Source organism: Homo sapiens, chromosome 17, assembly GCF_000001405.40.
Source record: "Homo sapiens chromosome 17, GRCh38.p14 Primary Assembly".
Classification (NCBI taxonomy): Eukaryota; Metazoa; Chordata; class Mammalia; order Primates; family Hominidae; genus Homo; species Homo sapiens.
Genome location: NC_000017.11, coordinates 13,859,831 through 13,887,788, shown reverse-complemented (window position 1 = coordinate 13,887,788; position 27,958 = coordinate 13,859,831). Strand labels below are relative to the sequence as shown.

The following is a 27,958-nucleotide window of genomic DNA, read 5'->3' as shown; positions in this document are numbered from 1 at the left end:
CATACTGAAATTATCAATGGTTGGAGGTGATTTTCAGGGGACACACGTCTGCAGTTAGTGGCAAAGTTTGGGCAAGAGGCAGCAAAATATGACTTATATGGGTGCTGACTTTAAATAACAAATGCTTGTTAGGGGAAGCTAAGAACTTGTAAAGAAGGCCAAAAGAAATTAAGGCCTAAGGAAACGAATGAGGCAGCATATTAAGAGAGGGAGGAACAGATGCTTCGTAAATGCATCTTTGTCCTAATAGATATTACTTGGTTTATCTTTCTCTAATTAAAAGTTACTTCATTAATTCAAACTTAATAGGAATTAGTTATTTCGACTGCAGGCAGCCCAGGTTTCCTGATGCCTGTGACGGTCTGTGCTTCCAATTCTTTCCTCATTCTCTGACCTTGCTTTATGAATTCCTTTTCAATGGCCTTTTCTGGCTCCTTCTACTCTGATACCTTACAAGAACCTTCTTTCTTTCTTTTTCTCTGTCATACAAGAGAAGTGAATTGTCTGAAGTGGGATTTCAGGGTTGAATGGGAACTTTAATGTGGGTGTGTGTCCTATTGAGCCACCTCCCAGCTCCATGCTTGAAAACCCTCCATGTAGGTGGCTGCTTGTCCCTCTGAGCCCAGAGGGAGCTGATGCAGGTGACATTACTCTTCCCAACAAAAGCCTTTGCTCCTCACTCTGACAAGAGGCATAACGAACATCTTTTGCAAAGTTTCTGATGCGCTTCAGTTTTCCTCCGGAGATGCCGAAGGAATATTATGGCATACTGAAGAGCAAACTCTAGAATGCTGGGAATGAAGATTGTCATATTTGGAACTTGGTAAAATTGGAACTTGGCTAAAAACGTTTTCTCTCTGGTATGTGTGCCCAGGGCACACACAGGTGGTTAGGAAGAGGTTTGTATCCCTGTCATATTTTAGTCTAACAGGTGATCTCTCTGAGAAGCTATGGAGTTATGATAAGGGGAGGGGTTGTGAGGAAAACACTAAAAAGATGTTTAGGCTCAACTGAAAGCTTAATGTAGGAAGAGTTCTTGCAACATCAGAATGTAAATAATTTACTTTACTCATTCTTTCAGCAGGGTGAAGGGAGGGAAGATTAATGGGCAGTTTAAAAGAAAGTCCAGTTAAAACCTTTGCTGCCCTGATGTCATGGATGCAAGAGCCAGTTTAATCTAAACAAAAGGGGCAACTCACCCATTTGGGCAGGGCTGGGAGACCACACAGTGGCTGAGAATTGACCATCAGCAGGGTCCCGCTCTTTATAGACCATTTGTTTCCATTTGTAGTGAAAAAGGAGATGCTCTTGTAGAGGTTAAGTCACCCAGTTATTTGTTATAAACTTTCAGAAAGGAATGGTTTTGAAACAAGTCTTAAGTGTTTCAGTGACAAATATTTAATGTCACCCCTGAGATTTATGGCTCTTCTGTTCGCCCTTTGAAAGCTTTTAGTTCAGTGGCAAAGGTTACCAGGGGCTTGCCCAGCAGAAAAGAGGTCTTTTCTGTTGTTGTTTTATCATCTTAGCACTGGCTGGAGAGTATTCCAAAGTTTCAGTAATGACTAATCACCCTTTCTGCTCACATCGTCATCTGTCCTACGACTGTGATTGTCCTCGGAGACTAATCTAAGGCATGTAAGTGCTCCTGGCATCTGGTCTCTCTGCTTTCACACCTCCACAGCTGTGATACAGGGCGGGAGGGCTGATCCCAGGCCATCCCAAACCACAGCACTGCAGAGCAGGGAGGCCCTGGGTGTTATGTACCTGCTGTTCCTCACTGATGCCCTGTCTGGAGCACCTGTTGTGTTGGGATACTTATACTAGAATAATCCAAATGGTGAGGCCTCATCACTTTTTGGCCAAGGTAGAACTTACTTCCTTTTAATGTCTAAATTTTGATGGTGAACACCCCTGCTGGCTTAATTATGGGAAATTAGGCCTCCTGAAAGTGTGCCTAACATGTTTCTGAAGAGGATGCTGGATACCACATCATGCTGCCACATTGATATTAATAGACCTGCTAGAGCTCACCAGTGTGGGGCATAGTGACCAGCTGCTAGTGACCACGCTGCCTCCACCTGGCTTTGGGGCGATGGGTCAGGGGGTGAGATGGGGGGTAAGTCTTCCCTCCTAATGATACAAAGACAGAACCATAACTCTGATAGAGCCTTTACCAAAAGGCTGATTATGACTTCTCATATCTCTCTCCATCTGTCCAGCCCAATTCTGAGATTCTTTATCAGGCTTCCTTCTTGCTCCATGTAATAAAAGCAACAGCTGACATTTATCGTGTGCTTATTATGTGCCAGGCAGTATTCTAAGCATTTTGTGTGTATTATTCTGTTAATCCTCATAAAACTCTTTGTGCTATTATGATCCTCATTTTTTAGATGAGGACACTAAGGCACTGAGAGCTTCAGCGACTGGTCAAGGGCACACACTAGCAAGTACGGAGTGGCATCCGATGCCAGGCTGCCAGACTCCAGAGTCTTCTTTTTTCTTTTCTTTTCTTTTTTTTTTTTTGAGACTGAGTCTTGCTCTGTCGCCCAGGCTGGAGTGCAGTGGCGTGATTTCGGCTCACTGCAAGGTCCGCCTCCCGGGTTCACGCCATTCTCCTTCCTCAGCCTCCTGAGTAGCTGGGACTACAGGCGCCCGCCACCACACCCGGGTAATTTTTTGTATTTTTAGTAGAGACGGGGTTTCACCGTGTTAGCCAAGATGGTCTAGATCTCCTGACCTTGTGATCCACTCGCCTTGGCCTCCCAAAGTGCTGGGATTACAGGCGTGAGCCACCACGCCTGTCTGACACCAGGGTCTCTTAACCACCATACTCTCTACTCTTTTCTTCCTCACTGGGAAGCTCTGTGCAATTCTCTGCCTTAAAATTCAGGCTCAATTGCTGGAAGGCCCCCAAAGGGAGAAGGAAGCTTCCCTCTAAGCCAGTTTAAGGCTCATCCACCAAGTCTTCCTTTTCTATCCCAGGACTGATCTCTTTTAAATGACTGACAGCTCATTTCCTTTAGAAGAGACTCCACTTCTGCCTACAGAGGGGTGGCCTTACCTTTTTATTCTCTCCAAGATATCACTCTCACAAAGAATGCCATGGAATAATATATTTGCCAAGGTCTGGGCTGTTCAATCAGGATGCAAAATAGCCATTTTTGTTTCTTTAAAGGAGAAAAACAGGATCACAGCTGTATATTGCTGTGCTGCCTTCTCCTGGTTGTCTTTGAACTCCTAAGTAAACAAGAACATACAGGACTCTGCAATAGCTCGCAGTCACAGGGAGATACAGGGGATTCTAAATTCCTATGCAAGAAAGAAACTTTTCTTTAAATCAGTGAGTGTGGATACTGGAAATGAAAGCTTCTAGAAATAACACATACCAAGGCCTATGTATTTTAAAAAATGAAATCTCTGGCCAGGCACAGTGGCTCACGCCTGTAATCCCAGCATTTTGGGAGGCCAAGGCAGGCGGATCATGAGGTCAAGAGATTGAGACCATCCTGGCCAACATGGTGAAACCCCGTCTCTACTAAAAATACAAAAAATTAGCTGGGTCTGGTGGTGCGTGCCCGTATTCCGTTATTCGGGGGGCTGAGGCAGGAGAATCGCTTGAACCCAGGAGGCAGAGGTTGCAGTGAGCTGAGATCGCACCACTGCACTCCAGCCTGGTGACAGAGCGAGACTCTGTATCAAAAAAAAAAAGAAAGAAAGAAATCTCTATAGGTGATTCTAATATGCCATCCTGGTTGCAAGCCATGAGGTCAGGAAATTCATAGCAAGATATAGACCTGCTAAAAGATATACTTTATTTTACCAAACAGAACATCTGATTAGAGATGGAAACATACAGTCTAGTGAGTTTGTAAGCACTTGGGTCTTGTACAACCACAATGTCTGTGTGTGTGTGTGTGTTTGTGTGACATGTGATGTATTTGCTTTGCATTTGCTAACTCAAACGACCTGTCCAAGTAGTAATCCTGCCAACTCTTAGGTGGCATGAAATTCTCCTAACGTTTTTATACTTTAATAAAAGGTTTCAACTTTCATTTAAATGAACAAAGAGAAGACGAAGTAAATCTGAAGAAATTTTCACTGCACTAAACATCAGATCTCAATTTTTTTTTTTTGAATTTTAGGCAAAAAGATTTAGAAACCATAAAGAGAGAGAAATAGGAATAGTTTATTTTCTTCTCCCACAGTGGCTTAAGAGTGGCATATTATTGAGTTTTTTACTTGCTCTTATACTTGAGAATGAACTTGGCTAGATATATTCTTGTTTTATACTTTATTTCCCTCGTAACTTTTAAAGTATCACTCCACAGTCAATAACTCATGCTGAATTTTTTGTGGTAAAATCTTAAGCCAGCCTGACTTTTTCTCCTGCACTGAACTATAATTTTTTTTTTTTTTTGTCAGGAGGGATAAAAATTCTGTCTTTATCCTTGAAGTTAAATCATTTAATGAGGTTATGTGTTGATGCCAATAATTTTCTGTCACTTATTATTTCCCATATATGTTGTATGAATTTAATCTGTAGATTCTGTTTTTTCCATTTCATGGAAATTTTTCAATGCTGTATCTCTAAATATTTTTTTCCCAGTTTTTGGTCCTTAATGACAGGAGCCCCAGTTAGCTTTCAGTTGGATCTTCTTGGTCTTCTACATGAATCATCCACTCTGCGATTGCTTTAATTTGTCTTTCTCATTCATTGAGAATACCTGAAGCCCTTCTCTGTGTCATTAATTTAATATTTAAAACTATCTACTATATTTCTTGCTCTTTCTAAAATGTCATTAGGGTCAGGTTCTCTATTCTGTTCCATTGGTCTATGTGTCTGTTCTTGTACCAGTACCATGCTGTTTTGGTTACTGTAGCCCTGTAGTATAGTTTGAAGTTGGGTAGTGTGATGCTTCCAGCTTTGTTCTTTTTGCTTAGGATTGCCTTAGCTATTCAGGCTCTTTTTTGGTTCCATATGAATTTTAAAATAGTTTTTTTCTAGTTCTGTGAAGAATGTTAATTATAGTTTAATAAGAATAGCATTGAATCTATACATTGCTTTGAGCAAGTATGGCAATTTTAATGATATCGATTCTTCCTCTCCATGAGCATGGAATGTTTTTCCTTTTGTTTGTGTCATCTCTGATTTCTTTGAGCAGTGTTGTGTAGTTCTTCTTGTAGAAATCTTTCACCTCCCTAGTTTGCTGTATTCCTGGGTATTTTATTCTTTTTGTGGTCCTTGTGAATGAGGATTCATTCAAGATTTGGCTCTTGGCTTGACTGTTGTTGGTATATAGGAATGCTAGTGATTTTTGTACATTGATTTTGTATCCTGAGACTTTGCTGAAGTTGCTTATCAGCTTAAGAAGCTTTTGGTCTGAGGTGATGGGGTTTTCTAGATGTAGGATCATGTTATCTCCAAACAGGTATAGTTTGACTTCCTCTCTTCCTATTTGAATGCCCGTTATTTCCTTCTCTTGCCTGATTGCCCCGGCCAGAACTTCCAATCCTATGTTGAATAGGAGTGGTGAGAGAGGGCATCCTTGTCTCGTGCTGGTTTTCAAGGGGGGAATGCATCCAGCTTTTACCCATTCAGTATGATGTTGTTTGTGGTTCTTATTATTTTGAGGTGTGTTCCTTCAATATCTAGTTTATTGAGAGTTTTTAACATGAAGGTTGTTGAATTTTGTAGAAAGCCTGTTTTGCATCTTTTGAGATAATCATGTGTTTTTTGTCTTTAGTTTTGTTTATGTGATGAATCACATTTGTTGATTTGCATGTGTTGAACCAACCTTGCATCCCAGGATGAAGCCTACTTGATCATGATAAATAAGCTTTTATGTGTTGCTGGATTTGGTTTCCAGTATTTTGTTGAGGATTTTTGCATTGATATTTATAAAGGGTACTGGCCTGAAGTTTCCTTTTTCTGTTGTATCTCTGCCAGGTTTTGGTATCAGGATGATGCTGGCCTCATAGAATGAGTTAGGGAGGAGTCTCTCCTTTTCAATTTTTGGATATAGTTTCAGTAGGAGTGATACGACCTCTTCTTTATACATCTGGTAGAATTCAGCTGTGAATTTGTCTGGTCCTGGGCTTTTTTTTGTTAGTAGGCTATTTATTACTATCTCAATTTCAGAATTCATTATTTGTCTAGTCAGGGATTCAGTTTCTTCCTAGTTCAGTCTTGGGTGGGTGTGTATGTCCAGGAATTTATCAATTTCTTCCAGATTTTCTAGTTTATGTGCATAGAGGTGTTTATAATATTCTGTGATGTTTGTTTGTATTTCTGTAGAGTTAGTAGTAATATCCCCCTTATTGCTGATTGTGTTTATTTGAATCTTCTCTCTTTTCTTCTTTATTAGTCTAGCTAACCGTCTATTTTATTAATTTTTTCAAAAAACAAGCTCCTGCATTTGTTGATCTTTTGAATAGATTTTCGTGTCTCTAACTCTTTCAGTTCAGCTCTGATTTTGGTTATTTCTTGTCTTCTGCTAGCTTTGGGATTTGTCTGTTCTTGGTTCTCTGGTTCTTTTATTTAATAGTTGTCATGTTAGGTTGTTAACTTGAGACCTTTCTAACTTTTTGATGTGGACATTTAGTGCTATAAATGTCCCTCTTAGGCTAGATGCAGTGGCTCACACCTGTAATCCCAGCACTTTGGGAGGCCGAGGCAGGCAGATCATGAGGTCAAGAGATCGAGACCACCCTGGCCAACATGGTGAAACCCCATCTCTACTAAAAATAAAAAAATTAGCTGGGCATGGTGGCGGGCACCTGTAGTCCCAGCTACTTGGGAGGCTGAGGCAGGAGAATCACTTAAACCCAGGAGGCGGAGGTGGCAGTGAGTCGAGATCACGTCACTGCACTCCAGCCTGGTGACAGAGTGATACTCCATCTCAAAAAAAAAGACAAACAAAAAACAAAACAAAACAAAACAAAAACCCCAAAATTTCCCTGTTAATATTGCCTTAGCAGTGTCCCAGAGATTCTGGTACATTGTATATTTGTTCACATTAGTTTCAAAGAACTTCCTGATTCCTGTCTTAATTTCATTATTCAGTCAAAAGTCATTCAGGAACAGGTTTCTGAACCTGTTTTCATGTAATTCAGGAACAATTTTCATGTAATTATATGGTTTTGAGTGAATTTCTTAGTCTTGAGTTCTAATTTGATTGCACTGTGGTTCAAGAGATTGTTTGTTATCTGAGTTCTGTTGCATTTGGTGAAGAGTGTTTTACTTCTGATTATATGATAGATTTTAGAGTAAGTGCCGCGTGATGATGAGAAGAATGTCTATTATCTTGCTTTTGGGTGGAGAGTTCTGTAGATATCGCTCAGGTCCATTTGATCCAGAGCTGAGTTCAGGTCCTAGTATTTTTGTTAATTTTCTTTCTTTCTTTTTCTTTTTTTTCAGTCTTGCTCTGTCACCCAGGCTGGAGTGTGGTGGTGCGATCTTGGCTCACTGCTAGACTGGTTGGATCCAGGTGCTGAATTCAATTTACTCTTGATTTATCTTGTGTTTGTATTCAGAAGTGTGTTTCTCAGCTACTCAGTGTAAGAACTAATGTTTAAGCCAAGATGACTCTTCTGTTATTTGGAACACAAAGCAACTAGATTAACTTTTGCCAGGAGACTGACTACCAAACTCATATAAACACTGCACAGACAGCCCATGCCGGCCCCCCACAGACACTTGCTGTCACCTCCATGGTCTTTCTTGAGTTCTCTTAGACTAACATTCTGTAATTACTGCTGCCTTCCTTTCTTCCGAGGGCTGCACCCTCTAGCCCAGTACTCCTCACGCTGTCATGTACATTTGAATTACTGGGAATTTTACTGAAAAGCAGTTTCTTATTCAGCGGGTCTGGGGTGAGGCTTGAGATTTTACATTTATCACAAGCTTTCAGGTGATATTTGAGTAGCAAGGCTTTAGGCCACAACAAGAGTATAATTTTTATTCCAGCTTTTAAATAATTGGACCCTGTTAATGGCAGTGTATGGGAGACATAAGGTAAAGTGAGAAGAGTACTGGGTGAGGTCAAGATTCAATTTCCGATTCCCTGTTTACCAGTTGTGTGCTCTCAGCTTTAATTTTCATGTACTAAAAAACTGGGAAAATCAAATGTCAGAATGAATGTGTACATACTTTGCATAAGGCATTTAAATGAAAGGATTAAATAATCCTCTATGATTAACAAGAATGATTATCAATATTTCCCAGGTAACTTATTGTCATCAAAACAACAATATCAGTAGATATCTAAAAAGTTAGGATGAAAAGAGATAATTGCTGTAAAATGCCCATCACTGTGCCTAGAATGTACATAGAAATACATGTTAGCTATTCTTATTTTTTTTTTTTTTGAGACGTAGTCTCGCTCTGTTGCTAGGCTGGAGTGCAGTGGCATGATCTCGGCGCACTGCAACCTCTGCCTCCCTGGTTTAACCAATTCTCCTGCCTCAGCCTCCTGAGTAGCTGGGACTACAGGCACCTGCCACCACGCCCAGCTAATTTTTGTATTTTTAGTAGAGACAGGGTTTTACCATGTTGGCCAGGATGGTCTTGATCTCTTGACCTCGTGATCCGCCCGCCTTGGCCTCCCAAAGTGCTGGGATTACAGGTGTGAGTCACCGCGCCCGGCCAGCTATTCTTAATTTCATTCAATTTGGTAAGATTGGGCAAGGAGAAAGCTGTACTTTCCAATGGGTTTGCCAGCCTGTTCTTTCTATGCAGTCTCCATTTGATCTTGGGTGTTGTACATGTGTTCTCCTAATGATGGAACTATGTATTTAAAGAGACAAAGGCAGAATGAAGTCTGACCATCAACCTGAGAATGTTCATGTTTTTGCATCAGTGAGGGTACTTTAAGCTGCAGGGAACAAAACCTCCAAATTCAATTTGTTACAAGCAATGGGGAAAACTTATTATGTCACTTAACAAGAAAACCTGAAATAGGGCAGCTCTAAGGTTGGTTGATTGGGCAGCTGGGCAGGTTTTTCACCTCTCCCATTTTCCATTTTGGAGTAATGGCTCCTCTCATGGTCTCAGAATGGCTTCAGCAGTTCCAAGTATGGCATCCAGACAAGACGATCTCTAGGAGAGAAAGAGAGTTCTCCCCTGTATCTCTCTATTTCCAATAGAGGAAATAGCTCCCAGAAAATCCCAAAAGACTTGCTCTCTTATCTTAGCAAGATAAGCTTGTTAATCGGGGCTGGTTCATGTGCTCCTTCCTAAGCTGACCCCACTAGAATTGGCATTGGGATTGCCATGCTTCTCTGGATGGTCCATTCAGGAATTTTCTCTATATTTCATGGGAAAGGATTGAGACCAGAATACAGAGTTCAGAATGCAAGAAAGAATGGCTTTTGGACACTCAGTAGTGTAGATGGTGTTCTAAATATGAAGGGTACAGATGAAATCTTCCCAGGGGCAAACACCTTTGAATTTCCTACCCAGGATAGGATTCTCTTCCTGTTATAGCCATCTCAAATATGTTTCCATTGGCTTAAATTTTTAGTGGCAGGAAGCTTAATTATTTTGAGTATCTTTGACCTCTCCTTCTTGCTATTGACCCTTATTTGCACCCCCAGTTAAAAGTCGAAGGTGGCTTTAGCATCAAGAGTACCAAGCCTTTGTAAGGAGGTGTCACCCTCAGCTTCTGAGGTGGAGTGGACCCTGAGGCTTGTGCTGGGCATTGGCCAGGGTGAGAGCACATTTACAAAGCCTCAGCTGTGCCTGTTTCTCTGTGTGTCTCCTTATTTGACCCCTATGATTCAAGCTCGTATTGAATACCCTGACCTCCCTTTCACACTGCTTCCCCTAATGGTTTATCACCATTCTCTTAATAACTTTCACACCAACATTTCAACTGAAAGCTATTGAAAATGTGCCACTTTAAAAGACTGTGCTCACCTTGCTTGTCAGTACTATCAGCAAACATCCCCCACCCTCTTCAACCACCAAACACCACTGTCTCCCACTCTTTCAAATAAATGGAAAAACTTTAAGGTCTTGCAAGACCAGATTTAGGAGCCACTGAGAATATGACCCATTTATTTTGAACTCGCAGACAATCAATTGACCTTCCGTAGATACTAACGTTTAGATACGTCTGCAGCTAGAGAGATTTACATCCTGACCTTCCACTTGCTTCTAGAGTAGTTCACCTTTGCTCAACAACATTGGAAAATCCACACAACATTTATTTCTTGCTCTAACAACCTTCTTGGAGTCTTCAGAAATACTCTTTTATCTATTCCAAGATGGAGGAGGAATAACAATGGTTTTAACCTCACTGCAGAGCAATCTAACCTTTTAAAGTGGACGTTATTCAAAATGGAAGAATAAAAGCTCAGCTTCCTACTGACGGTGGATTATTTGTCATCATCATCGCTGTCATCAAAAAATGTTGCAAACAATCTTGTCATTTTAGGAAACCTCTGCTAAAAATGGTGTTTGCTTTATGCCTTTAAGTGTTTCTGTGTTTGGCTTTTTTGCATCATTGGCTCTGCCTGAAGAACTTGGCCCCGTTAAGATAAAGGGAGGAGAGGTGTCTCTGTGCTTAGCACGGGAACTTTGGCTGGCTGAGGTCTGTGGAAATGAGGAGAACATTACCAAGGTGCATGGCCTTGTTCAAGTGAAGCTCACTGCCAATCTGTGGTGTGCTGGGAGGCAAAGGCATCTCTGTGCTTCATGCTGCCTGCCTGGTGTCAGGGGATCTTCGAGGTCTCCATGGAAGCTTCCCAAGTCTGTCTTTCCTACAGTGTTAACTGTGTTTGAAGCCCCTGACAGGGCTGTTGCCATCTCCTCTAAGCAGGAGCTTCTCATCCCAATTTCCTGATGCCTGAGAGTAAAAGCCAGGTGTAATAATTTACTGGGAGGAGCGGTTTATCCATCCAATAGAACCTAAATCAGGCCTTACACTTAAACTTGAGTGCATACCCAAATTTCCTGGAGAGCTTCCTAAAAATACAGAATGGGAAAGCTAATCTCTGCTTTGATTCAGTAGGTTTGCACAGAGCTCTGAATCTGCATTTTATGCTTAAAACAGCAGAGGCGAATCTGAGATGGTGCTCAGAAAAATCTATTTGGGGAAAATCTTCTCTAAGCCATAGGCTTGAAAATCAGCAGTGTGGCTTCTCTGTGCTGGGTTTGTTGCACCCCTGAGCACCAATCCTCACTGGCCTTGCAAATTTATTGGCCCAGTTTACAGATGAGAAGAGTGAGGGGACCAGTGGTTAGGTCATTTGCTCACAGGCTCATTGCTGGCAGTGGCCTACTATTCCCTGGTGTGAGCTCAAGGCTACCTGATTCCAAAGCCTGTGCTCTTGAGTCTGGGCCATACCATGTCCCAGACAAATGCCTGGTTAGGCCCCAAACTAGCCTCTGAACATACAAAGATGAGTAAGACAGTCTTCCTTATTAGAACAGATTCTAGTGAGTTTTGAGGGATAGTTTTTCTCCCATTCCTTCCAGATGTGGAAAAGCAGTTTGTCCAGTGATGAGCAGAGCTGGGACTAGGAAGTAAGACCTCCTGGAGATTTTTCTCCTGTTTCAGGATGACAAATTAAGTGCGGCCGGGCTTGGTAGCTCATGCCTGTAATCCCAGCACTTTGGGAGGCCGAGGCGGGTGGATCATGAGGTGGGTGGATCACGAGGCCGGGAGTTTGAGACCAGCCTGACCAACATGGTGAAACCCTGTCTCTACTAATAATACAAAAATTAGCTGGGCGTGGTGGTGGTGTGCACCTGTAATCCCAGCTACTCAGGAGGCTGAGGCAGGAGAATTGCTTGAATCAGGGAGGTGGAGGTTGCAGTGAGCTGAGATTGTGCCACAGCACTCCAGCCTGGGTGACAGAGTGAGACTGTATCTCAAAAAAAAAAAAAAAAATTAAGTGCACTTGACAGTTTGGCTAATGAGCTACCTTGCTGCCTCTGAAGAACCTCCAAAAACAAGGGAATCCAAAATGGATTCCTAAATTCATGAAGAATTTGGATCATGCCCTATTCTATCCCATACCATGTATCTATTTTGATGATGCTAAAAGTTCTCAAGGCGTTCCTAATGCAAGGTATTGTGCGTTGAAATAAATAAGATGGTTGAGATGGAAACACTTTGAAATAAAAGCATCATAAAATGGGTTGTGGTAGGTGTTATTATCAAAGGTCCTATCTGATCTGCCTTACTAAAGTGGTGCTTCAACCTCACAAGGGCCATCGTGTTGCTGAACGTTCATCAGGCTAGCACTGCACCAGGGACTCTGCCTGTGTGGTCCCAGGTGTCTATACATTTATCCTCGCTGTTGTACAGAAGGGGGAACAGAGGCTCAGAAAGGACACTCATGGTGAGGATGAGGGTTGAGCCCAAGTCTGGAGCCTTCGTATTTAAACACCATCTACTGGGTTGCCTTTTGTTCATTCGTCATAATACATTCATTCTACAAATGGGAGCTAGATGCAGAGGATAGGGTCTTAGAGGTGAGGTAGCTCAACTTCATCCTGTTGTAGAAATGGGCTCTGTATCATCTCCTGAACACAGTGGTTGCCCTCTCTTCACACACTCTTAGGAGTGGGCATTCAACATTTCATAGGTAATCCTCAAAGTTCCCTTTTACTTAGAGGATTAAGCACAATCCACAAAGTTCCCTTTTACTTAGAGGATCAGGCACAGTCTCCCCAGGCATCCATATCTTGCCCCATTCAACCTCTAAATCTCTCTCCTACAACTCCTTGACAAACACCTTTGTCAACTACTGTCTGCTAAGCTGACCACATGCTTTTCCAATCTCTGCTACTGAGAGCAACTCCCACATGGGGTAGTTCCCTTTTTCTCTGTGTTTCTCTGAGTCTAGTCATCTTCAAGTCCGGTATGAAGACCTTGTCCTCAGCCCAAAGTGAGTTTTCCCAATTTCCCAGAGCACTGCTCCCCCACACTACTCATCTGGTTCCTAGTGTAAGCTGCTCCCTAGTGTTCACCCTTTTTGTTGTCTGTGGAACCATCCAATGAGATTGTGAAGCCCATGAAAGCAAGAGCTTCGTCCTATTCATCTTTATATTCTCAATGCCTTGTTTAAGTCATTTCCCCAGAATGATCTTTCAGTAAATATTTGTTGTAGGTAAAGATTACTCTCCCTAGTAGAAACTGCATCTTCTGTCCTGCATTAATTTCCATGTCAGTGGCTGCCTGGAACAGGGTTATCTGTCAGTGTTGTTTGATTGGCTGAATTTTTTTTTTAAGAGCTTATATGGTGATCATGCTGGAAGGAGAACTGAGTTTCACCTTTACTTCCATTTCCCACTTACATACTGGGACTGAGAAAATACTTATTGGAGCATTGTCTGTGATAGTGAATAACTCTAAACAGTCTAAAAGCCCATCATCATGGCATGGGTAAATACACTGTAGCACACTCGTAAAATGGAATACTATATAGCAATGAAAAAGCACCAGTGACAGCAGCATGAATGCACATGGATGAATCTCATAAAAATAACGTTAAGCAAAAGAGCAAGCTGAGAAGGATACACATGATGCAATGCCATCCATACAAAGTCAAGAAATGTCCAAAGCAATATTATATATTGTTCATGGGAAAATGCACGTTTAATACAATTTTAAAGCAACATGTACCAAAGTAGTGCTGTGGGAAAATGTATGAGTTTCCCGGGCCTGCCATAATAAAATACCACAGGCTGGGGGGCATAGGCAACAGAAATGCATTATCTCACAGTTCTGGAGGCTAAAAGTTCGAGATTAAGGTGTCAGCATGGTTGGTTTCTCCTGAGGCCTGTCTCTGTGGCTTGCAGATGGCTGTCTTCTCACTGTCCTCACACGGCCTTCTCTCTGTATGGGCATCCCTGGTGTCACTCAGGTGTCCTCATCTCTTCTTCCGATAAGGACACCAGTCAGACTGGTTCGCCATAGTGATTTTACTTTAACTTAATTACCTTTTTCTAAGGCTCTATCTACAAATACAGTCATATTCTGAGATACTGGGGACTGGAGCTTCAACATAGAAATTTTGAGGGCACACAATTTGGTCCGTAACAGCATACTCGGTGCCTCTGGAGGGCTGTGAGGAAGAATCTGTCCCTGGTCTCTCTTCTGGCTTCTGGTAGCCTGAGGGGTGCCTTGGCTTTAGATGGTGTTCTGTCTGCGTCTTCCCCTCATCTTCCCTCTGTGTGTGTCTCCCTGTGCGTCTGCACCCAAATTTCCCCGTTTTATAAGAACACCAATCATATTGGATTAGGACTCACCCCATCCCAATGACCTCATTTTAGTTTTGTTATTTTTATTTTTTGGCAGAGTCTCACTCTGTCACCCAGGCTGGAGTGCAATGACATGATCTCAGCTCACTGCAACCTCTGTGTCCCAGGTTCAAGCGATTCCCTTGCCTCAGCCTCCTGGTAGCTGGGATTACAGGCGCCTGCCACCATGCCCGGCTAATTTTTGTATTTTTAGTAGAAACGGGTTTTCACTATGTTGGCCGGGCTTGTCTTGAACTCCCGACCTCAGGTGATCCGCCTGCCTCAGCCTCCCAAAGTGCTGGGATTGCAGGCCCAATTAACTTATTTTAATTTGATAACTTCTATAGAGGCCCTGTCCCCCTATAACATGACATTCTGAGATACTGGGGGTTAGGACATCAACATATCTTTTTTTTTTTTTGAGAGACGCAATCTGACCCACAACAAAGTATGTAATTTTACAGGGTGAAGAATCGACTGCAAGGACTGGAGTTGTATGTGTCCTATTTTAGTTTTTAGGTGGACATTCCATAACAATAACAGTTACAGCAACAAACAAAAGAATTGAGCAGAACTGCCAGCCTGCTCCTGCAAAAGCCGTCAGAGACAGAGGAGGGAGAAGTCTTTTTCTGGTCCTACAGGTACAATTTTCCTCTCACAGCACAGTCCTAGGGAGGCTGTCACGATAAGGCCAGCTTGTTCCGCTGCTGGACAGTTTTAATCATTAGATATTTATTTATTTTTGAGACAGAGTCTTGCTCAGTCACCTGGGCTGGAGTGCAGTGGCGTGATCTCAGCACACAGCAACCTCCGCCTCCCAGGTTCAAGCGATGCTCCTGTGTCAGCCTCCCGAGTAGCTGGTACTACACATGCGTGCCACCATGCCAGACTAATTTTGTTGTATTTTTAATAGAGATGGGGTTTCACCGTGTTAGCCAGGATAGTATTGATCTCCTGACTTCGTGATTCGCCTGCGTTGGCCTCACAAAGTGCTAGGATTACAGGCGTGAGCCACCACGCCCGGCCTAGATATTTCTTAAAAGTTCCAGGCTTAAACCTTCACATTAACTTCCAGCTGTGGGTACTATGCTGATCTCTGTCTGAAGCCATGTAGACTATGCCTGTGGCCACTTTTACCTGGAACACTTTGATGTGTTTGAAGGCATGACTCGCCCTGTCTTCTCTCCTCCCTGTTTGGTGCCTGCTCCTTCTCCTTCTACTACCCCCATCTCCATTTCTCATTTCTTTAACTCCTCCTCATATAATAAGATGTTCTTGATTTGGGTGCACCTGGCAATGGACTAAACAGGGTATTGCTCTGTCCTCATTGAGCCTGTACTTTATTCAGCGATTGATGACTTAAGCAATTCTTTTTTTTTTTTTTAAACTGGGGTAAGTAGTTGAAAAAAAAATGATGATGCCAGGCTTGATGTGGGAGGCCAAGAAATTCCCTTCTTAGAGGAGCCCCAGGCAAAGGATAAGAATTTCCCAGATAAAGAGGAGCAACAGTTTTTCAAGGTGAGGAGGCAGCATGCGGCAAGGAAGGTAACTTGAGCATCTGAAGATGTGAACCAAGTCGCTGCGGCTTGAGGGTAGGGGGCCAGAAGAAGGGAGGCCTTTGTTGAGGCTGCTGAGGGGCTGATAGATTTTGTTGAAACTGTGGCTTTGATTTTCAGAGACAGTACGAAAAAGTGTTTAGTTGAGAAGCAACGTGGTCATATTTGCATTTTAGAAAAATCACCTTAGCTGCAGAGGTGAGGTAGGAGAGTGGGTGAGTGAAAATGAAATGAGAAGCCTATTGAGAGGCTATTCCGAAATGCAGCCCACGTGGGAAATAAAAGCAGTGTTGATCAGGGTGGTGATGGTGAAATGTTCAGAAGTGCATGGATTTGAAACATATTTAAGGTGTAAAGTAGAACAGGATAATTTATTAGAAGCAGAGAATGAAGGCAATACTATCCTTAGTTTGGGGCAAAAGAGATCCGACTCTGCGCCTTATATGTTATACCAGGGATTGGCAAACTCCAGCCCATGGGCCAAAGCTGGCCCCTGTCCTGATTTTTTCTTTAAATAAAGTTTTATTGAAACACAGCTGCAGTCATTCATTCTGTGGCTACTTCTTTGCTACAGTGGCCTTTCTGGCCTGGAAAGCCTAAAATATGTACAAAAAATTTTGCCAATTCCTGTTGTAGAGGACTACTCACTTCACAAACACTCACAAAAAATAAAGGTATTAATAAACAAATGCGTTGGAAGGACGAGGCAGGTGGATCAGGAGGTCAGGAGATCGAGACCATCCTGGCTAACATGGTGAAACCCCGTCTCTACTAAAAATACAAAAGATTAGTGGCGGGCGCCTGTAGTCCCAGCTACTAGGGGAGGCTGAGGCAGGAGAATGGCGTGAACCTGGGAGGCAGAGCTTGCAGTGAGCCGAGATCGAGCCACTGCACTCCAGCCTGGGCGACAGAGCGAGACTCCGTCTCAAAAAAAAAAAAAAAAGAAAAAAGAAAAATAAACAAATGGGTGTCTCTCAGCCCAGGCAAGTTACTTACCCATAACCTTAGACATCCACTTTCAAGACTAAGACTGCCCAGGTTCCAGGGAGACGCTTCTCTCCATCTCTTCAACCTGGCTCCTCTATACGAAAGTATCTAAATGTTGTGGAGACTTTGGCTTGTGCTGTTGCTAACACTGCTCTCCAGTGCAGGAAGGATCTGAGCAGAGCAAATGCCTCCATAAAAGAAAAGATGAATTAATGGACTTGTCAAAATCTTTATCTAGTCTATTACATGAGTGAAACGAAGTGCAATTTCTCAATGTGTTCAGTATCCCCCTTCATTGTTTTGCTTAGCGCTGGGATACTCCTAAGTTAGTGTGGTCTCTGGAGTGATTTTGCATGGCAGCTGAGGGATATTTTGCTACACTTTACAACTCATGCGACTCTGGTTTAGACCCAACATGAATGAAGTGTGACACTGATTCTTTACACAAACATAAAAGCTACACGTATGCATATGAGCGCCACACATATTCTTATTCTGGGCCCTGCAATGGTTAGCGTGGACCACAGCAAGGGAAGGGTCAAGGATGTCTCTTGGGTATCTGGTGTGATCACTTAAGCAGTGGAGGTGACAGCTAGTTTGGAAGATGTTTTGCAGAGATTTTGAGAATGCAGGTAGAAGAGATGGAGTCAGCATTTGGATATGGGCTACTCAGAGGGGAGGTCTGGGTGGGCTGAGGACATCAAGTGAGGGGTCGTTGGTAATTGGATGTGATCAAGCGCTCCTGAAAAGAAGAAGCTCCTGGTTAATTGTGCCACATAAGCTGAGGAATGGATTTAGCTACCTGGAAGTCATTAGTGACCTCAGCATGGTTCTCATGAGGTCAGAGGATGAAGATTTGGAAGCCATCTGTGTTGAGGTGGTTTGAAATATGCATGAGGCATGAGGAAGGCACACGGTGAATGTAGAGAGCAGGTTCAAGCCTTTTGAAGGGGATGAGGAAGTGGAGCAGTCCCTGGAGGAGGGAGTGGGACCAAGGGTAGATTTTTTATGTTTTATTTTTACTTTTAAAGATAAGAGGGACTTGAACATGTTTCAGTGCTGATAGGAAGGTTCCACCACAGAGAGGAAAGTTGATAAAGGAGAGAAAAGAATTTACAGAGCCACTCTAAGAGCAGATGATCCGTTTGTTTGCAGCTTCGACACACTGATGCACTCTTTGTTATGTCTCTGGTACTTCAAGTGGGCATAAAAAACAGCAAGATTGTTTTTGCTGGGAGAGATGGCAGCCTGGCAACAGGGAGTCCCTGAGGAAGCTGCCTCTGCGTCCTCACATTCCCCTGCCTCGCTGTCAGTATGGCTTATGGTCTTTTGGTTCAGGTGCATACAGAAGAGGCTCTTGTTACGTATCCCTCAGAAAATGAATTAAATTTAAAATAGATCTCATTTCAGATCCAGAGGCTGTAATGCTATCAGCCCACTAGGTAGAAATAGCTTGTTGCTCTCTTGGTTCACTGCAGTCTTAACAGCGGGATTGCATGCTTCACAAATGAGTGTATCCTGCATGGAAATCTGACACGCTCTCCATCACTGTTTCACCCAATTAAAAACATTGTACTCCACAAAGAAACAGCATTTAGGACACAGGGGTCTCCGAGTGGCAGAGTTTTCGGAAAAGCTGTTAGTGCAAAATGAAATTTAGAACCTTAGAGATGGCACCAAGCTGGGAAATTTACATACTATCAGGAAGCAGGACTAACTGTCTGGAATAATTGAAACTGCAATAATAACTTGAGTTGTCCTAGGGAGTAATGTTAGAAAATATAATAAACATTTTCCAAATCCAAGAGCTTTATTTGCCTTCTGTTTACTACACAGAGATGCTGTCACCTTCACAACCAAATATCTTTCTTGATATAGTTTAGACTCCCAAACACTGATTCCCATCATCATCAATGCCATTTGGAGCAATTATTGTGCTAAGCGCTTTATATATACATATATATATTATATAATATATAATATATATAAATTATATAAATATATATAAATAATTATATAAATATATAATATATATAAATTATATAAATATATACAAATAATTATATAAATATATAATATATATAAATTATATAAATATATATAAATAATTATATAGATATATAATATATATAAATTATATATAAATATATATATTTATTTATTTATTTTACCTTCATAACAATCTTGTGTGTCCTATTGTTATCTTCATTCAAAGGAGGAGGAAACAGGTTCAGAAGGTAAGTTGCTTGCCTAAACATCACACACTCTGTGTATGATTGGCAGAGTTTGGGTATAAACTCAGGCAGGATGACTCTGGAGCCCTCAGCTTTCCCTCCTTCATTCCTGTACGTAGAAATAAGAGATCTTACCTTTGGCCTTCAGGTAGCTTAAAATCTGATTGGAAGTATATGATGAGGGTACTCATAACTTTTCCATAGACAGAGTTTGTTAAGTATAATAAGGGGTGCTTTGGAGTTAAGGAGAGTGAGGAATTACTCCTGGGCATACAGAGGGGCATGCTATCAAGGTTGGTTCACCATCAATCGTTAGAGCTAATGGATTGGTGGAGTTGTGATTGATTGAGGTGGGAGTGAAGGATGGTTAAGGTGGGAGGAATAGTAAGGGCAAAGGCAGAGTTAGATTGGAGACAATGTCTAGGGAGCAATGGGTAGTCCTGTTTAACTGATGTGTGTGTGGAACAATAACAGCAAAGACTGCGTGGGTCAGAGCATGGGAATGCCTAAATGACAGTATGGCTATATTCTCTCCATGCATTCTGGAAATATTATAAAGGCTGGAGTTGAGTTGAATAAAGAGACAAGTGCACTAGGAAAGCTGATTGAGCTTCTGCCATCCAGGGAATATATATTTAACTCAGATGATATCACTAAGAAGTAAGTGTATTTTTTAAAAAAGTTTTGACTGTTTTCCTCCCATCACACAATCAGTCATTATATGCTGCTCTTTCTGTGTCTAGCACAGTGACTTTTAATTCTTGCTGAAATTAGAAACCACCTGGGGAGGGGATAAAACTCTTACTGCCCAGTTGGGATACCAGACCAATTAAATCAGAATCTCTGGGGTGGGAAATAAGCGTCAGTATTTTTTGAAGCTTCCTGTGTGATTCTCATACATAGCTGAGTCTGAGTACCACTATTTTATCAGATCCCTCACTTGCTAAGTGAGCTAATTAATTAATTACTGCTATAGGCATGGCCGGGCAACTAAAATGATAGTTGTGCTGGTAGCAGAAAAAGAAAGATCAGGAAGAAGAATTGACTTGGGAAAAGGTGAAATATTTTGAAATTGGCAGATCCAGTGTTTCTTGGTGGAGATTTGTGGGCTCTCCTTGTCTTTGCAGCCTCTTCTCTAGACTCTATTTCCCGAACATAGCAGGTGCAGTATAAATGTTTGAATCTAGAAGTCAGTGGGCATTTGGAACTAGGGTTTCACATGCTCTTGAGGGACGTCAGTGTTGCTGAGACTCAGATGTTTGAGTTATCTGCATATAGACAATAATGTAAGTCATGCAGATAGAAAACAGAGAAAAGATCTGATGACACAATATTGGGAAATATCAACATAAAGGGAAAAGGAAAAAGAACTAAGGAAGAGAGTTTAAGAAGGTGGAAAAGGATTCTAGAGAGTTAAGTATTTAATATATAAAATGTTACAGAAAGGTAAAAAAGAAAAAATAAAAAGGTGACGTCAAGGCGAAAAAATCTGAAGGCTTTGGTGCATATAGTGTAGAGCAAAGTATTTGTTAAAGCATACAAATAGTATTATTTATCATAGAAAAAATTACAAATTACAAAAAAACACTTATAATACCACCATTCAAATATAAGCACTTAAAATTTATAATTATTTTTCAAAAAATATAAATCTGTGTTTTTGTAAACAAAAATGGGACATCATATATATAAATATGAAATCAGTTTTTCATATAACAATATATCATAAAATTTTTCCATGTCAATGAATATACACAAATGGTAATTTAAAATGACTTCAAGTTATTCTGGTTGTAATAGAACTGCTATAATTTATTTGACCCATTCCTTATTGGTAGTTTTTAATTTTTTGAGATTTTAAAGTTTTGTTCATATGTGGTTGTACATATGTTTGATTATTTCCTTAGGTTAAATATCTAGGCATAAATTCCCTAGATTCAAGGATATGTACATGATATAATCTTTGCCTTCTAGAAAGCTTCTACCACTTCATACTTTTACTAGCAAAACATACAATTGGTTACTTTATCATATACTCAACAATACTGGATATATTCCTTCTTTATTTTTACCAACTTTTTGGGTAAAAAAATGATCGTTCAATGATATTTATTTGCTTTTCTTTGATTACTAATTATTCCAGTTGTTTTCTACTTAGCATATTTTGGTCTTCTGGGAATACTGTTCATTTGTTACCCAGAATGCTTTTTCCTTCACATGCATAGATTAGAGGAATGCCTGATTATTACCTCCTGCTGGTTCCCCTCCCTTGATTTCTGGAGTTCAAATTATATTATACCTCATTTTATCTTTCTGTGGACATTTAAAAGGAGATGTCTCAGGATGAGTTCCCTGTCTCAGGAGAGATGTCTCAGGATGAGTTCCCTGAGCAAAGATGCTAAGACAGAGTATGGTTTAGAGATGCTTTAGTGGTTTATCCCCCTCCTAAGGAAGAGAAGGAAGCAGGATTGTGGAGAAGAAAAAGGCAAATGCAATGCTGGTGGGACAAAGCTTTGCCAACCCTTCATGGAGGTCTGGAGCCAGTGTTGCCCAACACAGCTGACCCTCTTTGGGTCCGAAGGTCCTGGCCCTTCTGCTCTTACCTCACTGAGTCATTGGATGGGTAGAGTTGCCAGATATAGCAAGTTAAAATACAGAATGCCCAGTTCAACTTTTCAAATAAACAATGAATATTTTAAAAATAGGAGTATGTCTCAAATATTGCCTGTGGTGTACTTATCATAAAAAATTAAACTATCCATTGTTTATCTGGAAGCCAAATTGAACTGGGTGTTTTGTGCTTCATCTGGCCACCTTAGATGTGGGCTGCCTGAGAAAGCTGTGATCTTAGACAGGCGGCCCAGCTGCAGCAGGTTCTGAAAGAGCTGACAGCTGGGAGAGGCTGGTGGACCACATGCCCCATGTATGCACAGGAAGTCCTCTTTGGTGGCGGATCTGGGTGATTAATTTCCATGTTCAGGGGAGTTAAACACAGGATTCCAGTTCTGAGCTTGAACTGGACATTCCAAGGGAACAGCTTCAATTAATCAGGAGTTAATTCTATTATCTATGAACTCCTTGACTTTTCTCATTCTTGAGTTCTTTCATCAGAACCCTCTTGAAGTTCTTTTATCAAAACTCAAATTGAGAAAAGTCAAGGAGTTCATAGATAATAGAAGAGAGGAAGTAGTGAGTGAGTACATACTATTTTTAAAAATTGGCTTTGGGGAAAGCTTTTCTAAGGAAAACAGTAAAAATGCTAACAAAGAAAAAAGTAGGGAAACTTGTGATGTTTATAGCAGAAGCAGGATGGATTGAAGATACTGGGCTAAAAAGTAGAGTAACTGTTGAATCAAATTCCAAAAGGAAGCAACCAGTTTTGCCAAGAAGAAACAAGCCTTCTTCTGAAAAAAGCAGAGGAGGAAAATAAAAATCATGAAGTGGAGTGGAAGGGAATTGTGGGAACTTAATTTGTGTGAACTCTATTTTTTTAGGAAAAACAAAGGAAAGCAAGGACATCTACTAAGACTGAAAAATAAATGGTAGGGTTTGAGGCTTGGGAGACTTGCAAACATCTTCACCATGGTGAGCATAATTTGGAACACAGGATTTTGGAGACAGAGTTCAGCCTCAATATCTCCATCTTCTTCCTATGCCACTGAACTTGGATGACATATGACATGTAAGACATGGTTTCTCTTTTTAAGGAGTTTTTATTGTAGTTGGAGAGAGAATTTACACATGAAAAGAAATAACCATTTAGGAAATATATAAGCTCAATGCAATTTTGTGGTCTAGTCAAAATCCATGATAGTTCAGAAGGTCAAGGATTGCTATGAGCTGGAGAATCTGAGAATTCACCAACAAGGGGAAACTTTCGCTGGGTCTTGGGTAGGAGGCAGACAATGCAGACAAAGTGGGACAGGCACTCAAGGCAGGAACATTGTCCTTTTGAGAAATAGCAGTTTGGCTGGTGTCTTTTAGGTCGTATCTGTTCCTTGGATGAACTCTGTCACAATTGGCACCGTCCATTTCCTTCATGTGCTAAGCCTACAAGAGCCCTGAGTCATTGTGGTATCATTGGTTGGATTTTTACTGCAGTCTAGTGACTCTTGAATGAGAATTAGAAGACATGGGCCCCTATTCCTTCATTTTCATAAGAGTGGATGAGATTTAAACTGTTTCTGAAAACAGGACAATGGGAGGATCAGATGGCATGTGGGCTGTTGGCTGACAGTGCTCATTGGCTGCAACAATGGAACAGCATGAAAAGAAGTCTTCAAGAGGTCCCTGGACTGCCTGGAGACTTTGAGTGCACTGTTACGGAACTTGTTTTAACATTCATGAATACCAAATGAGAGCAAAGAAGTAATTTAACTTAATAAGCTGAGAAAGTTTTGCAAGACTCTTTGAGTACTTCCCAGTCTATGTGCTACCTTAACTGCCTACGAAAAGTAGAAGAGATTTGATGCTTTTCCTCTCTCTCTCTTTTTTTTGTTTTTTTGGTGGTGGGGTTGGGGGGTTAACTCATTACTAATTCTATTTTTGTTTTTTATAAGGAACTTAAGATAGATCTTGCCCTAATACTGCCAGACTAATCTTCCTTAATTACATCTTTTATTGCATTGTTTTCCTGCTTAAAAACCTTCAGTGGCTCCCTATCTCCCACTACAAATTCTTCTTGATTTACAAAATTGCCATAATCTCTCTCTTTTTTTCATATTCCAACTGTATGCTTTTCTAAGCTCTAAACATACCCAGTTCCCTTTACAAGCTGCCCTAAATAGAGGCGCTATTTTAACAGTGGAGAACATTCGCAAGGCATGTACACTTAATTATTATTTTGTCATGTTTTCACAAGGGACAACCTTATAACTTAGATTAGCTCTTATCTCAGTGATGTAACTGTGGTTATATTTTTATGATCTTGTGAATTCCCTCCTGCCTTCCCAGGGATATTTCTTATTGGCTCTCTTGCTTATCAGCTGGAATATTTTCCAATAAATGGGGCTTCGATTCTGGATATCCAGTAAAACTTCTGTTTTCAGTAGGAGATTTGATAAGCCTTTGCAAAAACTAAACAGCTTGTGTTTTGTCAACATCAATTCCCAGTTCAGATTAGAATCATTAGTGGCAGAGCAAGTGCTATTTGGCTGAGAAGGGATAATTAAAGCAGCAAACAGGGATCTGTGTAATTCTGCCCATGATTTGCATAGATAATGGAATGAAGACATGTCACAAGGACTTCTGAAATATATGACAACATGATTTCAAAGATACGTCCCTACCCCGCATTCAGACACCAAGTTAAATTACCAAAGGGTCATGAAGATTAGGAAAACACAGCATCTGCACTGAAAATGAAGAAAAGGTTCCATCAACATGTTACAAAGTCGGAAGAAGTTTTGAGACAGCACAGAAGAAGTGGCAAAAGATAACGTCATAATTTCTCTTATTTAGAAAATTCCTCCCCTCCCCTTTCCTCTCCTCTCCTCCATTAGAAAATGTGGGTATTGGCAGAGGTGAGCTGGTAAACTGGCTTTCTGGAAAACTAAAGCCCGAATTTGGGGCACTTACACTAAGTGGTGTAAATGCACCTGCCTTGGCCAATTTCAAGCTACCAGTGCAGAATTAGGACTGGCCACACAGATTCAACTTTTCAGAGCCTACCTTATTTGGCTCATCACACTGTTGAGTATTATGGGAAGTCTGTGTAAATGGGAGCTTGGAATAAGCCCCTAAACTGTTTATGTGGGTGTGAGGGTGTGTGGCAGGGATTGGAGGCCATGAAGAGTTGGATGTTGGCTCCATGGATCCCTTTAAATGCCAGGATCCATAGCTCCCAGGAGCATCAGTGCTGGGAGGTGCAGGGACAAGTCAACAGGAGAAAACAGCTAGGGTGGACCTATTTTTCTTTCTGAGACATTCTCTCAGCTACAAGGCTCTTTCTCTGTAAGGCAGGTAGGTGGAATGTGGAAAGACCAGGTAGAAGAAACAACTAGATCTAGAAAGATGGCCAAAGTATGAAGATGCTGTTACGGGTTAAATGCTTGTGCGCAACCCCTCAAATTCATATGTTGAAGCCCTAAACACCCATTGTGATGTTATTTGGAGGTGGGACCTTTGAGAGATAATTAGGCTTACATGAAGCCACAAGGGTGAGGCCTTCTCATGAGTCCTTATGAGAAGAGGAAGAGACACCAGCACTTCCTCTTTCTGCCATGTGAGAAACAGCAAGAAGGCTGCTGTCCATAAGCCAGCAAGAGGACCCTCCCCAAGAACCCAACCATGCTGGCTCCCTGGGCTTGTACTTCCAGCTTCCAGAATGGAGATAATAAATAAATGTTGTTGAAGGCACCCAGTCTATGATATTTCTGTTATAGCAGCCTAAGAAGACTAAGACGGACACTCATAAAATAGAAAGCACATAATACTGTGGCGAACATGTGCCCAGATTTACTGGTTATCACACTGAGAATACACATAGATTAAACTTCTGATTAGAAGACAGAATTCTCAGATTGGGTAACAAGGCAAATTTCAACTACATACTGTTTACAGGAAAGACAAAAAACAAAATGGCACAGAACAACTAAAAACAATGAGATGGGAAATGATATCTCGGAAAAATGCGACAAAAATAAACCCAGAGTTTAATACAAATATCACACAAAATGAAATTTAAGACTAAAAGCATTAAATGGAAACAAAAGTTTATTTGTTATTAATGAAAAATTCAAAACAAGAAAAATTAAGTCTGGACAGGAGTTCTAAAACTTTATGTAGCAAAAATATATAATATTGAGAAGTATAAAGCTTAGCTACTTAAAAGACGAGAAGCCGTTGATACAACCTTGATGTTATAACCTTAACAACATGTGACTTTCAGAATTTAGTCAATCAGACCAAAAAAGGCTGCTATATGCAAAAGAATAGAATAGTTAATTATTACATTTGAATTAGTAGTTATATATTTTTATAATTTATTATTTTTTTATTTTTTAAAAAATAACAAGATGATATATTTTTAAACCTAACAAAGCAATCACATTAAATATAAGTGGTATAAACCAGGGGTCAGCAAACTAAGCCCTATGGGCCAAATCTGGCCTGTAGCCTGATTTTGTATGGCCCTTGACTAAGAACGGTCTTTCCATTTTTTTTTTTTATACTTTAAGTTCTAGGGTACATGTGAACAACATGCAGGTTTGTTACATATGTATACATGTGCCATATTGGTGTGCTGCACCCATTAACTTATCATTTACATTAGGTATTTCTCCTAATGCTATCCCTTCCCACTCCTCCCACTCCACAACAGGCCCCGGTGTGTGCGATGTTCCCTTTCCTGTGTCCAAGTGTTCTCATTGTTCAGTTCCCACCTATGAGTGAGAACATACGGTGTTTGGTTTTCTGTCCTTGTGATGGTTTGCTCAGAATGACAGTTTCCAGCTTCATCCATGTCCCTACAAAGGACATGAACTCATCCTTTTTTATGGCTGCATAGTATTCCATGATGTATATGTGCCACATTTTTTTAATCCAGTCTATCATTGATGGACATTTGGATTGGTTCCAAGTCTTTGCTATTGTGAATAGTGCTGCAATAAACATACGTGTGCATGTGTCTTTATAGTAGCATGATTTATAATCCTTTGGGTGTATACCCAGTAATGGGATCTCTGGGTCAAATGGTATTTCTGGTTCTAGATCCTTGAGGAATCGCCACACTGTCTACCACAATGGTTGAACTAGTTTACAGTCCCACCAACAGTGTAAAAGTGTTCCTATTTCTCCACATCCTCTCCAGCACCTGTTGTTTCCTGAGTTTTTAATGATCACCCTTCTAACTGGTGTGAGATGGTATCTCCTTGTGGTTTTGATTTGCATTTCTCTGGTGACCAGTGATGATGAGCATTTTTTCACATGTCTGTTGGCTGCAATAAATGTCTTCTTTTGAGAAGTGTCTGTTCATATCCTTTGCCCACTCTTTGATGGGGTTGTTTGATTTTTTCTTGTAAATTTGTTTAAGTTCTTTGTAGATTCTGGATATCAGCCCTTTGTCAGATGGGTAGATTGCAAAAATTTTCTCCCATTCTGTAGGTAGCCTGTTCACTCTGATGGTAGTTTCTTTTGCTGTGCAGAATCTCTTTAGTTTAATTAGATCACATTTGTCTGTTTTGGCTTTTGTTGCCATTGCTTTTGGTGTTTTAGTCATGAAGTCCATGCCCATGCCTATGTCCTGAATGGTATTGCCTAGGTTTTCTTCTATGTTTTTTATGGTTTTAGGTCTAACATTTAAGTCTTTAATCCATCTTGAATTAATTTTTGTATAAGGTGTAAGGAAGGGATGCAGTTTCAGCTTTCTACATATAGCTAGCCAGTTTTCCCAGCACCATTTATTAAATAGGGAATCCTTTCCCCATTTCTTGCTTTTGTCAGGTTTGTCAAAGATCAGATAGTTGTAGATGTGTGGTGTTATTTCTGAGGCCTCTGTTCTGTTCCATTGGTCTAGATCTCTGTTTTGGTACCAGTACCATGCTGTTTTGGTTACTGTAGCCTTGTAGTATAGTTTGACGTCAGGTAGCATGATGCCTCCAGCTTTGTTCTTTTGGCTTGGGATTGTCTTGGCAATGTGGGCTCTTTTTTGGTTCCATATGAACTTTAAAGTAGTTTTTTCCAATTCTATGAAGAAAGCCATTGGCAGCTTGATGGGGATGGCATTGAATCTATAAATTACCTTGGGCAGTATGGCCATTTTTATGATATAGACTCTTCCTATCCATGAGCATGGAATGTTCTTCCATTTGTTTGTGTCCTCTTTTTTTTTGTTGAGCAGTGGTTTGTTGTTCTCCTTGAAGAGGTCCTTCACATCCCTTGTAAGTTGGATTCCTAGGTATTTTATTCTCTTTGAAGCAATTGTGAGTGGG

At 40.9% G+C, this 27,958-nt stretch overlaps 1 long non-coding RNA gene across 4 annotated transcripts in view, besides 1 other annotated feature; it reads left to right on the top strand.

Moving 5' to 3' along the window:
* The window catches only part of LOC100506974 (uncharacterized), a 108,299-nt gene that overhangs the window by 10,837 nt on the left and 69,504 nt on the right, over window positions 1-27,958 (top strand). The window contains exons 1-2 of one of the 4 annotated variants that reach the window (XR_001752797.1): window positions 7,456-7,487; window positions 22,523-22,710. The exons of 2 other annotated variants lie outside the window; for them this stretch is intronic. This is a non-coding gene — a long non-coding RNA (uncharacterized LOC100506974). Of the gene's footprint in view, window positions 1-7,417; window positions 8,386-22,522; window positions 22,711-27,958 lie in introns of those variants that run through there. One more of the 4 variants, XR_001752795.1, reaches the window with a different exon arrangement.
* Window positions 12,412-12,929: an enhancer, noted in NCBI's record as "NANOG hESC enhancer chr17:13778177-13778694 (GRCh37/hg19 assembly coordinates)". NCBI's record gives its function as "activates a minimal SCP1, AML or CMV promoter by ChIP-STARR-seq in naive H9 embryonic stem cells {active_cell/tissue: H9 hESC(naive)}" and the evidence as "EXISTENCE:reporter gene assay evidence [ECO:0000049][PMID:30033119]".